At 48.7% G+C, this 15632-nt stretch overlaps 2 protein-coding genes across 6 annotated transcripts in view, besides 3 other annotated features; both read right to left on the bottom strand.

Annotated features, from left to right (window-relative positions):
* Positions 1 to 14239, bottom strand: part of HAS3 (hyaluronan synthase 3) — a 35236-nt gene extending 20997 nt beyond the window's left edge. The window contains exons 1-2 of one of the 3 annotated variants that reach the window (XM_047434045.1): positions 13398 to 13481; positions 12181 to 12270 (exon numbers count right to left, since the gene is read on the bottom strand). The gene's annotated coding sequence lies outside the window, so the exon portion shown is untranslated. Of the gene's footprint in view, positions 1 to 12180; positions 12271 to 13397 lie in introns of all 3 variants that reach the window. The other 2 variants (XM_047434047.1, XM_047434046.1) reach the window with 2 other exon arrangements.
* Positions 7772 to 8649: an enhancer, noted in NCBI's record as "H3K27ac-H3K4me1 hESC enhancer chr16:69122977-69123854 (GRCh37/hg19 assembly coordinates)". NCBI's record gives its function as "activates a minimal SCP1, AML or CMV promoter by ChIP-STARR-seq in naive H9 embryonic stem cells {active_cell/tissue: H9 hESC(naive)}" and the evidence as "EXISTENCE:reporter gene assay evidence [ECO:0000049][PMID:30033119]".
* Positions 7772 to 8751: a biological region, named in NCBI's record as "H3K27ac-H3K4me1 hESC enhancer GRCh37_chr16:69122977-69123854".
* Positions 8522 to 8751: an enhancer, noted in NCBI's record as "active region_11035". NCBI's record gives its function as "activates an Ori minimal core promoter by ATAC-STARR-seq in GM12878 lymphoblastoid cells {active_cell/tissue: GM12878}" and the evidence as "EXISTENCE:reporter gene assay evidence [ECO:0000049][PMID:35858748]".
* TANGO6 (transport and golgi organization 6 homolog) overlaps positions 12541 to 15632 on the bottom strand; it is a 241652-nt gene continuing 238560 nt past the window's right edge. For all 3 annotated transcript variants that reach the window (NM_024562.2, XM_047434633.1, XM_047434634.1), the window contains one exon: positions 12541 to 14238. In NM_024562.2, coding sequence (NP_078838.1) covers positions 14062 to 14238 — 177 coding nt within the window. In that variant the 3' untranslated portion in view covers positions 12541 to 14061. The remainder of the gene's footprint in view (positions 14239 to 15632) is intronic.

Raw genomic sequence — 15632 nt, 5'->3', positions numbered from 1 at the left:
TTCCCCTAGAAGGAGGCTTTTCCCTGAAGAAAGGATTTCCAAGCCTGGTGATGTCAGCAGCAATGTCCTCCCACCCAGGGAAGTCCCAGGGAGAGGTTCTCTCCTGTGCGCATTGTAAGCCTACTCCCACGCAAGTGTCTGCACCACACACATGTAGTTACGTGACACAAAATGGACACACAAGTGCACACTCCTTCCCAGAGTGGTGGAACACAATCCCTGTCTACACTTAAGGTAAGCTTGTTCCGAATTTGTTTGGCTCTTTTTTTTTTTTTGGAGAAAGAGTCTCGCTCTGTCACCCAGGCTGGAGTGCGATGGCCTGATCTTGGCTCGCTGCAACCTCTCCCTCCTGGGTTCAAGCAATTCTCTGCCTCAGCCTGCCACCATCCCTGGCTAACTTTTGTATTTTTAGTAGAGACGGGGTTTCACCATCTTGGCCAGGATGGTCTTGAACTCCTGACCTTGTGATCCACCTGCCTCGGCCTCCCAAAGTGCTAGGATTACAGGCATGAGCCACCACACCCGGCTTGTTTGGCTCTTGTTACAATAAAATCAACCATAATTCTTTTTTTTTTCTCAGTCTTGCTCTGTTGCCCAGGCTGGAGTGCAGTGGTGCAATCACGGCTCACTGCAGCCTCAACTTCTCGGGCTCAAGGGATCCTCCCACCTTAGCCTCCTAAATAGCTGGGACCACGTGCCACCATGCCCGGCTACTTTTTGTATTTTTTTGTAGAGATGGGGTTTCACCATGTTTCCCAGGCTGGTCTCGAACTCCTGGGATCAAGCGATCTTCCCACCTCAGATTAGGCTGGGCGCAGTGGCTCACACCTGTAATCCCAGCACTTTGGGAGGCTGAGGTGGGCGGATCACGAGGTCAGGAGATTGAGCCCATCCTGGCTAACATGATAAAACCCCATCTCTACTAAAAATACAAAAAATCAGCTGGGCGTGGTGGTGCTTGCCTGTAGTCTCAGTTACTCGGGAGGCTGAGGCAGGATAATCACTTGAACCCGGGAGGCGGAGGTTGGAGTGAGCCGAGATGGCGCCACTGCACTCTAACCTGGGTGACAGAGCGACACTCCGTCTCCAAAAAAAAAAAAAAAAAAAAATTGGTGTTGGGATTACAGGTGTGAGCCACCAAGCCTGGCCCCACAATTCTTTTTTTTTTTTTTTTTTTTTTTTTTTTTTGAGACAGAGTCTCCCTCTGTCATCCAGACTGGAATGCATGGTGTGATCTTTGCTCACGGCAACCTCCGCCTCCCGGATTCAAGCAATTCTCCTGCCTCAGCCTCCCAAGTAGCTGGGACTAGAGGCGTGTGCCACCACACCTGGCTAATTGTCAAAAAATATTTTTAGTAGAGACAGGGTTTCACCACATTGGCCAGACTGGTCTCAAACTCCTGACCTCAAGTGATCCACCTGCCTCACCTCCAAAGTGCTGGGATTACAGGCGTGAGCCACCGTGCCCAGCCATGTCCCCACAATTCTTTTTTTTTTTTTTTTTTTTGAGACGGAGTCTGACTCCGTCGCCCAGGCTGGAGTGCAGTGGCATGATCTCTGCTCACTGCAGTCTCGGCCTCTTAGGTTCAAGCGATTCTCCTGCCTCAGCCTCCTGAGTAGCTGGGATTACAGGCACGCACCAGTGTGCCCGGCTAATTTTTTGTATTTTTAGTAGAGATGAGATTTCACCATGTTGGTCAGGCTGGTCTCAAACTCCTGACCTCAAGTGATCCACCTGCCTCAGCCTCCAAAGTGCTGGGATTACAGGCGTAAGCCACCGCGCCCAGCCATGGCCCCACAATTCTTAATTGTGCTGGCACTTCTGCTTTGTCTTCTTTCTTGATGAAAGACATCATTAGTCACTGTCACACAGGAGGTCCAAAGTTAGACCCTTTATAAAAGCAGTTAGAGCGAAGCTGAGGGTAGGGGCCATTCCCATCGGTGCCTTTGTTGGAGGGGACCCCCTGCCAAAATATGTCCTACTTGCAGCAGTTAATTTTTTTTTTTTGGCTAGGACCCCCACTCCCTGATTTTCTTTTCTCATCAGATAAGCCAATGTAGTGATTCCCATGTCTGGCAGGGTGTTGCACAGTAGACTTTGAAAACCTGTAGAGCTTTTAAAAATCATGAATGCCTGGAACCCATCCCAGATCAATTTAATCAGAATCACTGGGGGTGGACCCCAGGCTTGATTAAAAAAAAAAAAAATTCCCCAGGCAATTCTATTCTGCATCCAGGGTTGAGAACACAGCCCGAGGGTTCTCCTCAGCGGAGACTTACAAGTGCATTTCTGGCACCGAGAGGCCAGTCAAGAGCCAGCCAGTCAGGCGGTGAGCTCTAGAGCACGTAAGAAGAGTGTCTGTCCATTTTCCTCCAGCACCAGGCCTGCCACGGTGTTGGCACCTGTTTAATTTACTAACCTTAAAAACTTCACAATGGGCTGGGTGCAGTGGCTCAAGCCTGTAATCCCAGCACTTTGAGGGATTGAGGCTGGTGGATCACTTGAGGCCAGGAGTTCAAGACCAGCCTGGCCAACATGGCGAAACCCTCTCTCTACTAAAAATACAAAAAAAATTAGCCAGGTGTGGTGACGCGTGCCTGTAATCCCAACTACTTGGGAGGCTGAGGCACAAGAATCCCTTGAACCTGGGAGGCAGAGGTTGCAGTGAGCTGAGATTGTGTTACTGCACTCCAGCCTGGGTGACAGAGCGAACACTGTCTCAAAAAAAAAAAAAAAAAAAAGTTAACAATGGACTAGTGAGCTGTCAAGCCAGAAGGAACAAAATAAAAGAAGGAAGGATGTGGATTTGAGCTGGAAATTAGGAAGGAGAGCCGGGGAGAAACAGAGGAACAGGATCAGATGGACGAGATGAGTCCCCAGGTCTCTCCGATACACCTGGAATTAGATTTCAACAACCGTTTTGTTCACTCAGTTTGCTGTCTGCCTTTTTCCAGAACTGGGAAAAACCCAGCCAGCCCTTGTCTGTAGGAGGACAGAACTGTCAAAACAACTTGGATTCACTTTGTTTTCTAAAGGACAGAACTTCTGCACTGTGGGGATTTCCCCACCCAAAGGATGGGGAAGGATAGTCTCTAGAGACTCATGAGGGGTCTGAGCTGCTCTCTTTTGGGGAATGGAGTCCCCATTACTCTGTCTATCACACCGCCCTGGTCTTGTCCACAGAGAAAGACACACAACTTAGCACCTGTCCTTTGAAATCTTGGAACAGCAAAAACCTCAGGTCTCTGAAACATTAGCATTCCCATTCGCTTCTCTTCATAGACAGCCTATTTTCAGGCTGGCCTTTCTCTAGGATTAACATGGTCGCCAAGTTTTGAAGTTTTGAAGGTGGTGTGTGGTCCAGTGAAGGTGTGTGTGTGTGGTGGGGGTGGCTCTAGAGACTCTGGGAGTGCAGAGCAGGCTGCTTTGTTCTCCCCAGCGCCAGGTGGCTACCTGTGTGTGTGATAATACATTAGAAAAACCCCACCCAGGAGCTCTCCTGAGCTGCCTCCTGCTCTTAAGGTAGACAGTAAAGACGAAATCTGACATCATTTAATAAACCACTTAAAGGCCCAGTAGCTTTCCTAGTTCCCCAGAAGAGGTGCTCCTGTGCTCCGGCACCACACCCACTCTGCAAACCACTCTCTCCTGAAATCAGCAGCTCCTGCCCTCAGCCTCCTGCAGCTCTGTGCTGGAGTTAGGGGCTGGCCAACTGACTGATTTTTTATTTGCAATAATTGACCTCTCTGGACCTTATTTTTCCCTTCTTCAAAGAGGGCCATTAACCCAGCTTCTTTTTCCTCTCTCAAGGAATGGTATGGGAATAGAGCTATTAATGTATTTATGCTTTGAGCTTCTTGCAAGGAATAACTGTTAAAAATGATACACTGTAGGCCGGGCGCAGTGGCTTATGCCTGTAATCCTAGCACTTTGGGAGGCTGAGGTGGGCGGATCACCTGAGGTCGGGAGTTCGAGACCAGCCTGACCAACATGGAGAAACCCCGTCTCTACTAAAAATACAAAATTAGCCGGGTGTGGTGGCACATGTCTGTAATCCCAGCTACTCGGGAGGCAGAGGCAGGAGAAATGCCTGAACCCGGGAGGTGGAGGTTGCGGTGAGCCGAGATCATGTCATTGCACTCCAGCCTGGACAACAAGAGTGGAACTCCGTCTCAAAAAAAAAAAAAAAAAAAAAAAAGATACACTGTAGGCTGGGCTCAGTGGCTCATGCCTATAATCCCAGTACTTTGGGAGGTCAAGGTGAACTGATCTCTTGAGGTCGGAAGTTCAAGACCAGCCTGGCCAACATGGTGAAACCCCATCTCTACTAAAAAATACAAAAAGTAGCTGTGTGTGGTGGCATGCGCCTGTAATCCCAGCTACTCAGGAGGCTGAGGCAGGAGAATCGCTTGAACTCGGGAGGTGGAGATTGCAGGTGAGCCGAGATTGCGCCACTGCACTCCAGCCTGAGTGACAGAGACCCTGTCTCAAAAAACAAAACAAAAAACAAACAAAAATGATACAATGTTATTCTGAGAATGGTATCTGAAAATTGAAGCCCTGCTTATAGGAAATGGATGGGAAAGCAACAATCTTCAAAGAAGACATTTCTGGAGTTCATGGGAAGACTTGCTACATTTTCTATGTTGCACATTTGCCACATGGCTTTCTGCCTCCTCTGCTCCCAGGAAGGCAGTCTTAGATGTTTACTATCTTGGCCACTCTACAAAAGAAGCCTTTCCATAAGCAATTTACCAAAGCTGCCAAAGTGCAGGAGCAGGTGGGCTGCGGAGCTTTCACACACCTCCTCCCAGCTTCTGGGCAAACTACAAGGTCAAACTCAAGAGGTATAACAAATTTTGGTGTCTGAGGTTGTTTCTGTGGTTGTTTTCCCAGAGATTATTTTGCTATGTTGCCCAGGCTGGCCTCAAACTCCTGGGCTCAAATGATCCTTCTGCCAAGACCTCCTGAGTAGCTAGGATTACAAACCACCGTGCCTGGCTTGAGGTTGGGTTTTGATGTACTAGGACACTCTTTTGAGGCTATTTGGGTTAAAGCTTAAGTTGACATAGGTGTTCCATTTAAACAAGCAGGGAATCACTTTTTTTTTTTTTTTTTTTTGAGACGGAGTTGCACTCTGTCACCCAGGCTGGAGTGCAGTGGCACGATCTTGGCTCACTGCAACCTCTGCCTCCTGGGCTAGTGATTCTCCTGCCTCAGCCTCCCGAGTAGCTGGGGCTACTGATGCATACCACCACACCTCGCTAATTTTTACATTTTTAGTAGAGACGGTGTTTCACTATGTTGGCCAGGCTGGTCTTGAGCTCCAGATCTCAAGAGATCCACCTGCCTCGGCCTCCCAAAATGCTGGGATTACAGGTGTGACCACCACGTGGGAACCACTTTCTTTATCCACACTTATACTAAGAACAGATTTTAACAATTTGGAAATACAGTATCTATGTATCGGTAGCAGCAAGCACGGTGGGAAAAAGCACAGCCTTTGGAGCCAGACTGCTTGGGTCCAGTACTGGTTTGGCTGCTTCTTACTGGCTATGTAATCTGAGGCAATTAGCCTCGTGTGTGCCTCAGTTTTCCTATCTGTAGAACAGGGTCATAGTAAGACCTATCTCACAGGCCCAGTGTGAGGGCTAACGGGATTAATATGTGTTAAGTACACAGAAGGGCATAATAAGCTTTTTAGTGTTAACTGTAACTGTGATCTTGACATACAGTGATGCAGAGGTACAACCATTCAACCTGGGCTTTCCAGATGAACCCGTACTTTAAGGGGCCATCAGACCTTATGTCCTGAATCTGGTTTGGGAAATATAGTCATTATTCTAGGGCCATTCCAAACCCCATGAGAAGGCATACCCTATACACCAAGGGCAGAGTCTCAGAGATGAGAAACCTCTTTTAAATAGACCTGCAGGGGCTCAAGATTTCTCTCCCGGATGACTATGTATAAGCCACGAACTAGTAATTATAAGCCACTAATTAGTATTTGCACCTGGGACACGGCTGCTGGTGGGTGTAACTTGCAAAGCATATTAGCGTGTCCCTGTTGTTGGTTTTGGTACACAGAAAACTCCAGCCCTGAAGGCTTCCTAGTCCTGAATTATTTAGAGAATGGTATCAACACTGCTTTGAGACTGAACTTGCATTTCATGGGTGTTAAAGCAAAGTCAGCTGAGGGTGGGGGAATGTAGATTGGTACAAACTTTTGGGGGGACATTTGGTACTAACATTTGAAATGGTTATACGCTTTTGATCTGGCACTCCAACCTTTTAAGACCTATTGCATAGAAACGTTTCGGTATGCAAAGTTATGTCTGAGAATCATTGAAAAACCATTGGAAATTAGAAACAAGTCAATGGAACCATCAATAAACAAATGATTAAGCTGCAGTTTACCCAAACAATGGAAGCCATGCCATCATCACAAAGGAAGAGATCTGTGAGTACTGATATGAGTGTCTCCAAGGTATATGACTCAGAAAAAATGATGCGGGGCACTATTTGGGGTAATAAAATATGGTAATAAATAAAGATCTAGAGGGATTTTGCACCAGTTGTCAGTGGTAATCTTGGGCAGGAGTTGAGGTGAGATCGTGGGAATTTTTCTTTCTTTGGAAATACGGTATCTCTTGGGCAGCAGCAATGCACAGTGTAAAAAGCACAGCCTTTGGAGAAAGACTACCTGGGTCCAAATACTGGTTTGGCTACTCCTTACTGGTCATGTAATCTGGGCAAGTAATTTGCCTCTTGTGTGCCTCAGTTTTCCCATCTGTAGTCATAGTAAGACCTATCTCAGAGTGTGAGGGTCAAGGGAATTAATATGTATCGTGCTGGGCACAGTGGTTCACACCTGTAATCCCAGCACTTTGGGAGGCCGAGGCAGGTGGATCTTTTGAGCCCAGGAGTTTGAGACCAGACTGGGCAACATGGCGAAACCCTGTCTCTACTTTTTAAAAAATACGAAAATTAGCCAGGCGTGGTAGCACGCCCCTGTAGTCCCAGCTACTCGGGAGGCTGAGGCAGGAGAATTGCTTGAACCCGGGAGGTAGAGGTTGCTGTGAACCGAGATTGCACCACTGCACTCCAGCCTGGACAACAGAGCAAGACTCCGTCTAAAAAAAAAAATTAGCTCAGTGTGGTGGTGCACGTCTGTAGTTTCAGCTACTCAGGAGGCTGAGGTGGGAGGATCACCTGAGCCTGAGAAATAGAGATTTCAGTGAGCTGTGATTGTGCCACTGCACTCCAGCCTGGGTGACAGAGAGAGACTGTCTCCAAAAAAAAAGTGCCAAGTGCACATATTACAAACTACAGATACATTAAACTTGTTCTAAGTCACATCACGTATCATCTGAAAATGTACACAAATACGCACAGCAGCCAGGCATTGTACCTGCGGGCTGTACCACTCCTCAGACTGGAGGGCAGAGGGCCAGCACGGGGGAGGTGGTAGGCAGCGCCGACCATGTGTCAGTGGAGCACAAACGCCTTCTTGGTGGGCCCCACGTGTTGGGATTCATGTGTATATGTGAGTACCTGAGTTTGCATCTCAAACTCTACTCTGCTTGAAAGGCTTGTACTTCTGTACTCACTTTGTGGGAAGAAGCTCCATTGTATTCAACAGATGTTCAAAACATTTCATGGAGGGTCTTCCGATGTAGTAAACAGGCTCCTGGCTGCGACCCAGCAGACTTGGAGCCAAATCCCACCAAGGGAGGATGTCAAGAGCCTGCCTCCCTGTTCTTCAAGATTGTTGTGAGAATCAGACAAGCTTATGGATGGAAAATGACTTTCCAAAATAAAGGAAATGCAAACACTGATCTTGCAACACTGTGTTACAAAGAACCGCAGAGGGCACTCTGGAGGAGGGGCACAAAAACTGAGGCCTGGTAGCGTGGAGCTACGGACTCCCTATGAAGAACTGGGGAGGACAACAGGGGATGACCTCCCTAATGATGTTTCAGCTTTCCAGGGCCGAAGGTGGGGTCTGCATTCCCCTCTCACCTTGCCAGCCTGTGCAGAGGGCGCTGAGCACAGCCCTGAGCTCTGCCTGCAGGAAAGAGGCAGCACCGGGTATTGTAAGGAGCAACACAGGTTCCCAACCCCCAAGCGGTGATTCAGTTCCAACAGAGTGGAGCATGGCAGGCAGAGGTGCCGCGCACTGCAGTGTGGCTGCTGCATGTGACTGCAGCATGTCTGTAGCTGCAGAGCTTGCTGAGGACACAGCCAGGCCCTCTGAGGTCAAAGCTGCTGCTGGGGGAAGGGGCGTATTGGGGAAGAAGACCCCTCATAGTCAGGGAAATGTGGCACCTCTCACAGCTCCGGTTTCTGACTCTCTCCCTTTGCCACAGAAATTCTGGCCGAGATTTTAGATTTCTGTGCAAAGACTGCAGAAGCTTATCTGGTTTTGCACAGGTCAGATGACTCATCTCTCGACTTATCAATTGATCCACTTTCACATGTTGTAGCCAGCCCTCCAATGCGGCAAACAGTTGGGTGAGAGGCACAGTCAGGTGGCAGGCAGCACTTCATTCAGTCACCCTCGCAGACAAAGAGACAAAACAGGTGGATGGACCCAGGGTAGATCAACACGCTTGCTCTCCTTTTTGAGCCAAAGAGGAGAAACTGCTGCTACCAGAGAAGAGGAGCTGAAACAACAGAGCCACCGAGGCCAAGTTGGGGGGTGGCATGAAAAGGGCTGGGGATCACTGCTTCCTTTTTATGGAGGGGAAAAAACTGGCTGGGTATGGTTATATGCATTTCTTTTATTTTTTCCATTTTGGGGACAGGGTCTCACTCTGCTGCCCAGGCTGGAGTGCAGAGGTGCAGTCACAGCTCACTGCTGCCTCAAACTCCTGGACACAAGCGATCCTCTTACTTCAGCACCCCTTCCTCCTGAGACCTGCTCTTACCTCTGGGCCTTGGCACTTGCTGTTCCCATTACCTGGAACACTCTTTCCCCATTATTTTAGTGCTCATTAATTCACCTGATCGTTATTCAAATAGCAACTTCTCAGCGAGGCTACCTCTGAACAACAAATCTCAACTTACTGTTCCCACGCTCCTCCCTCCTGACTTTATTTTCTCCATAGCATCTCTCACCACTTTACTTTTTTTTCTTGTCTTTTCTTTTTTTTTTTTTTTTTGAGATGGAGTCTTGCTCTTCATCCAGGCTGGAGGGCAGTAGCACAGTCTCACTCACTGCAACCTCTGCCTCCTGGGTTTAAGTGATTCTCCCGCCTCAGCCTCCTGAGCAGCTGGGATTACAGGCGCGCCCAACCACACCTGCCTAATTTTTGTATTTTTAGTAGAGACAGGGTTTCGCCATGTTGGCCAGGCTGGTCTCAAACTCCTGACCTCAGGTGATCCGCCTGCCTCAGCCTCCCAAATTGCTGGGATTACAGGTGTGAGCCACTGTGCCCGGCCCCACTTGACATTGTTTATCTTATTTGTTATCTGTCTCCCTCCACTGCCTCATAAACTCTCCCCGAGGGTAAGAGTTCTGTTTTGTTCACTGTTGTGTTCTCAGGGCCCAGTGCAGCATCTGGTACGTAATAGGTGCTCGATAAATCGTTGTCGTTGCTTGTGGTTTGCTTTCCTACACCCCAGTCCCTGGCACACTGGCTCTTACATGTGGATGAGCAGGCAGAGCCATAGGAAAGCAAAGAAGTGGAGGAGAGGGGTGAACAAACGAAGCAAGGGCCGGGTGCAGTAGCTCATGCCTGTAATCCCAGCACTTTGGGAGGCCGAGGCGGGCAGAACACCTGAGGTCAGGAGTTGGAGACCAGCCTGGCTAACATGGCGAAACCCTGTCTCTACTAAAAATACAAAAAAATAGTTGGGCGTGGTGGCAGATGCCTGTAATCCCAGCTACTTGGGAGGCTAAGGCAGGAGAATTGCTTGAACCTGGGAGGCGGATGCTGCAGTGAGCCAAGATCGCACCATTGCACTCCAGCCAGGGCAACAGAGCAAAACTCTGTCTCAAAAAAAAAAAAAAAAAAAAAAAAGCCGGGTGCGGTGGCTCATGCCTGTCATCCCAGCACTTTGGGAGGCCAAGGCAGGTGGATCATGAGGTCAGGAGTTCAAGACCAGCCTGGCCAAGAAGGTGAAACCCTGTCTCTACTAAAAATACAAAAAGAAAAAAAAAAGCAACAACAAAGCAAGGGACGTGGAAGAGGAGATTGGGAAATATGGGAAATTATGAGTGTGGAGAGATGATAAGGAGCAAAGCAAAAGTTAAGAGATTTCTGATTAAATAACAGAGAACTTGGAGAAGGGCAAGTTTGTGCCAAGGAGGAAGAAAAACAAAGCAGAGAGGGGAAACTCTCCAGAATGTTCAGGAAGTCTAACCTGAAAAAGCAGTTGAAGCTTGGGCAGAAGCCTGGGGTTTGGCTGTAGCCACAAGTGGGGCCTCTGCATGTCTCCTGTGGCTGAGCCATCCCCTGTAGAGCAAGGGGGTGGTGGATGGCGGGCCTGGGAAGAGGAGGAAGAGCCTAGAAGGGGAAAAAGGAGAGGAGGCAGCACGGGACCAAGCACAAGGCTGAGTGAGTGCCACAGAGGAATCTAGGAGAAAGGCTGCTGGGTGGTGGAGGACGCCGAAGGTGAGGGGCCAGCAGAGCCTCAGCAAGCCAGGTGGAGGCGGCAGCAGAAGGGGCGGTGGGAGGTGGGAAGGTGGTCTCTGAGGGAGAAGAGCAGGGTGGGGATGGGAGGCAAGACACACCTCACAGGGTCCATGTAGGGAAGTGTCACTTTTGTTCCCGTGTATTTCGTTTAAGTTTTTGTGCTTTTATTTATCTTCTGGGACAGAGTTTCGCTCTTGTTGCCCAGGCTGGAGTGCAATGGCGCAATCTCGGCTCACCACAATCTCTGCTTCCCAGGTTCAAGCGATTCTCCCGCCTCAGCCTCCTGAGTAGCTGGGATTACAGGCATGCGCCACCACACCCAGCTAATTTTGTATTTTTAGTAGAGACGGGGTTTCTCCATGTTGGTCAGGCTGGTCTCGAACTCCCGACCTCAGGTGATCTGCCCACTTCGGCCTCCCAAAGTGTTGGGATTACAGGCGTAAGCCACTGTGCCCGGCCGTTTTTGTGCTTTTATTATCCTAAAGTTTTAACATTCTTTCCCAAGGACTATCATTCATACACACACACACACACACACACACACACACACACACACACATAATATAGAAAATCTGAAAATTTTTAATAATTTGGTCATGTTTAAGAGGATTACATTAGGGCCCAGTGTGGGGGCTCACACCTATAAACCCAGTGCTTTGGAAGGCTAATGTGGGAGGACTGCTTGAGGCCAGCAGTTCAAGACCAGCCTGGGCAACATAGCAAGACCCTGTCTCTACAAAAAAAAATTAGCCAGGTGCAATAGTGCACACCTGTGGTCCCAGCTACTTGGGATGCTAAGGTGGGTGGATTGCTCGAGCCCAGGAGGTCAAGGCTGCAGTGAGGTATGATTATGCCACTTCACTCCAGCCTGGGTGACAAAGTGAGACCCTGTCTGTTAAAAAGAAAAAAAAATTGGCCAGGCATGGTAGCTCATGCCTGTAATCCCAACACTTTAGGAAACCGAGTAAGGAGGATTGCTTGAGCCTAGGAGTTTGAGACAAGCCTGGGCAACATAGCGAGACCTCATCTCTGCTAAAATTTTAAAAATTAGCCAGGCATGGTGGTGCACACCTGTGATCCCAGCTACTCGGGGGTGCTGAGGTGGGAGAATTCCTTGAGCCCAGGAGGTCAAGGCTGCAGTGAGCCATGACTGCACTACTCCATACCAGCTTGGGCAACAGAGCAAAACTGTCTTAAAATAAAGGTCAGGCACGGTGGCTCATGCCTGTAATCCCAGCACTTTGGGAGGCCAAGTTGGGCAGATCACCTGAGGCCAGGAGTTCAAGATCAGCCTGGCCAATATGGAGAAACCCTGTCTCTACTAAAAAACACAAAAATTAGCCAGGCATGGTGGTGCGCACCTGTGGTTCCAGCTACTTGGGAGGCTGATGCTTGAGCCTAGGAGTTGGAGGTTGCAGTGAGCCAAGGTTGTGCCAATGCACTCCTGCCTGGGTGACACAGTGAGACTCTGTCTCAAAAAAAAAAAAAAGAAAGAAAGAAGAAATAGATCAATAAAGAGCTAGGCATAATGGCACATACCTGTAATCCCAGGTACTCAGGAGGCTGAGGGGGGAGGACTGCTTGAGTCCAGAAGTTGAGAATAGCCTGGGCAACGTAGTGAGACCCCACCTCAAAAAAAATCAATAAAGAACAGATGTTTTCAGCCACTTGCCAAATAGTTCAAATTAAGAGGTGATCTATAAATAGAGATAAAGGTACTAGGATGCTTCATGAGGCACTCGAGGATTTTGGACTAGATAGTGTCTTAGACTAATCAAGGTGGTCAATCAGGATCTGTCCTCAGAACTGGAATGCGGTTAATGCAAATGAAGTTGTAAGTAAAATGGATTGTGCAACACATTCGATCTGCTGGTCTGAAGTGGGTTGCGTGGAGTCTAGTTAAAGGAAGGCCAAGAAACAAGCATTTTTATTGTACATCCAGCTGGCCCAAAGGAGATTCTTCTTAGATTTGAAAGCCACAATGCCCATTTTCTAGACATCCTTGATTTGGAGAATAGAAATTAATCCAGCTACACTAGCTGAATGGAAATATTCCTTAAACACACCTAGCTAGATTTGTTCTAACTCTCTGCTCACTAAGCTCACTTGTGATCCTGTTCATAAGATGGCCTCTTTAAAGGGATGCCACCAAGGAAGATCTGACTCAGAACCATGTCTGTGATCTGGCCAGAGAGAAATATCCTGTTGTTAACTAGCAAATAGCCATGTTTGTGTATAGATCCTTCAGTCACTCGAGCTTTTGGAAACTGCGTTTTGGTTCCTGTGGATCTAGTCACCCCAGAGAGCGTGATAAAATCCTGTGATAAAATTCTGTACCTAGCCCTGCAAAGCTGAGGACTGATCAAGCATCTCTGGGTTGGCCTCATCAAGGTGTTGACAACAGAGAGGGCTAATATGAAGCAGCCAGCCAGTATCTCCTTTCTGTTATCTCTTTTAGCTGCAATCAAAATGCAGCGGCCAAAACATATAAAGAAATAAAGTGGAGACCACAGTGCTATATCTGAAATTGTTTCAACAGCCCTGGCATTAGGCCACCAGCATGCATTCTTTCCAGCCTGCATTCAGTGTGAACCCATTGTCTAGGCATTCATCTTTCTGAAGGAGCAGAGGACAGAAGGCAGGATGTAAACTCTCTGGATGCTCGTGGTTCTTTTCTCCTGATAATCAGGGCAACTCTCTGCAAACAGCAGCAGGAGTGAAGAAGAATGGCCTGGGAGGATAAATACAGGGCTTACCCTTCTTCTCTGGAAGAGTCAACCAGCTTGATTGTCCTTTCTGGGCATCAGAGCCTCTTCAACTCCACAGTTTTCCATCTCGACACCAGAGGACCAGATTTAGCCCTGTTCTTTCCATCCAAGATAACTTTATTCCATTTTGCATTATTTGATAACTATTTCCTTCCCCTCCCCACCTCCAACTGCATCTCCTACTCTGAAATGCCTCTTGAGCAGCCAAGGGTGGCCAGTTCTGCTCCTCATTTTCCTGAAGAAGAATCTCAGCCTGAAAGAATATAGAGCTAGGTGACATATGGGTGGCCAACCGCTTCTCCTCAAGTTCCAAGAGAGTGGGCAATTAGTGAAATTCCATCAGTCATGTTAAAATATACTTTCACCAGGTAGACATCCTTCTTTCAATGCTAGAGGACAGTGAAAAATGTAGATTAATGAGATCTGTAACTGTCTTCTCTTAACTGTACACCCCTCAGGCTGAACGCGGGAGTGCTGAACACATGCCCTCGGAAGGGACCCTGAAGACCCAAGTGACCTGCACCATAAAACCACCCCGAGGGTCAGCCATGCTGCCAGCACTCAAGAGGCAGCAGGGCCACCTGCTGGAAGACCTGGGCACGGCTCTGGGTGCCTGGCCCTGCCTGCCTCCTCCACGTCCTTGGAGCCAGGTCTACGGCAGGACCATGATCTTCTTCTCCAGCTTCTGTGGAGGGAACAGGAAGTTTTTCATGATGTCATCCAGCTCTTCTAGGGCCAACTGGGCATGGAGCTTGGCCACGTCATCGGGCTCCAGACACACTACGTGCTTCAGCAGGTGGTAGAGATCCTTGAGGACGGCGCTCAGCACCTGCATGAGAGAGACAGCCATGACCGCCTGTCTACTGTGCCGGCATTTCTCAGTACGACTGAACTGCCCTCTCCTCCTGCCTGAGGAGATCTGTGAGGACATCCACAGACTTCCTGAAGATAATGTGGCTGGGTGCAGTGGCTCATGCCTGTAATCCGCACTTTGGGAGGCCAAGGCAGGCAAATCACTTGAGTCCAGGAGTTTGAGACCAGCGTGGGCAACGTGGCAAAACCCCATCTCTACAAAATATACAAAAATCAGCCGGGTGTGGTGGCGCATGCCTGTAGTCCCAGCTACTGAGGAGGCTGGGGTTGGGAGGATCATCTGAGCCTGGGAGGTCAAGGCTAAAGTGAGCCATGACGGTGCAGAAAAAAAAAAAAAAAAAAAAAGAAGATAATGCATGGCCATCTTGGGTTGGAGAAGGAGGCAGGGGTGGCGCTAGCCCTCGTACTGAGATAGGTTTCCCATTGTGTTTCTCACTCACCCCATGCCTAGCTACATGGCCTTGGGGCTTCTGCTCCCCTTTACTCCCAGGCCAAATCATAGTTCCCAGACTCCTTTATTCAGTCCCAAAGCATGGCAGAGACCTCAGGACCACAGACAGGCAAGACTGCCCAGATATGGTTGCTCCCAGAGCAAATGATTACCAGCATTTTCCTCCCCAGATCCCCATAAAGCCCTCTGCTGGCACCCACAGTACGGGCAATTATCTTATGAAACCCAGGAGGCTTTTTTTTTTTTGAGACGGAGTCTCACTCTGTTGCCAGGCTGGAGTGCAGTTGCACAATCTCGGCTCACTGTAACCTCTGCCTCCAGGGTTCAAGCAATTCTCCTGCCTCAGCCTCCTGAGTAGCTGGGACTACAGGTGCGCACCACCACGCCCAGCTAATTTTTGTATTTTTAGTAGAGACAGGGTTTCACCTTGTTGGCCATGATGGTCTCAATCTCTTGACCTTGTGATCTGCCTGCCTCGGCCTCCCAAAGTATTGCTATTACAGGCATGAGCCACCCCGCCTGGCCTAGGAGGCTATTTCTTGAGCAGTCATACCTTTCCTTGCCCCTACTTTAAAAATCTGTCACCAGGCCGGTGCGGTGGCTCATGCCTGTAATCCCAGCACTTTGAGAGGCCAAAATGGGCAGATTACTTGAGATCAGGAGTTAGTGACCAGCCTGGCCAACATGGTGAAACCCTGTCTCTACCAAAAATACAAAAATTTGCCATTTGTAGTCCCAGCACTTTGGAAGGCCGAGGCAGGCAGATCACAAGGTCAGGATAGTTTAAGACCAGCCTGGCCAACACAGTGAAACCTTGTTTCTGCTAAAAATATAAAAAATTAGCTGGGCGTGGTGGCAGGCACCTGTAATCCCAGCTACTTGGGAGGATGAGGCAGGAG

This window comes from Homo sapiens, chromosome 16, assembly GCF_000001405.40.
Source record: "Homo sapiens chromosome 16, GRCh38.p14 Primary Assembly".
Classification (NCBI taxonomy): domain Eukaryota; kingdom Metazoa; phylum Chordata; class Mammalia; order Primates; family Hominidae; genus Homo; species Homo sapiens.
The sequence above is the reverse complement of the archived record's forward strand: the minus strand, read 5'-3'. Positions and strand labels throughout refer to the sequence as shown.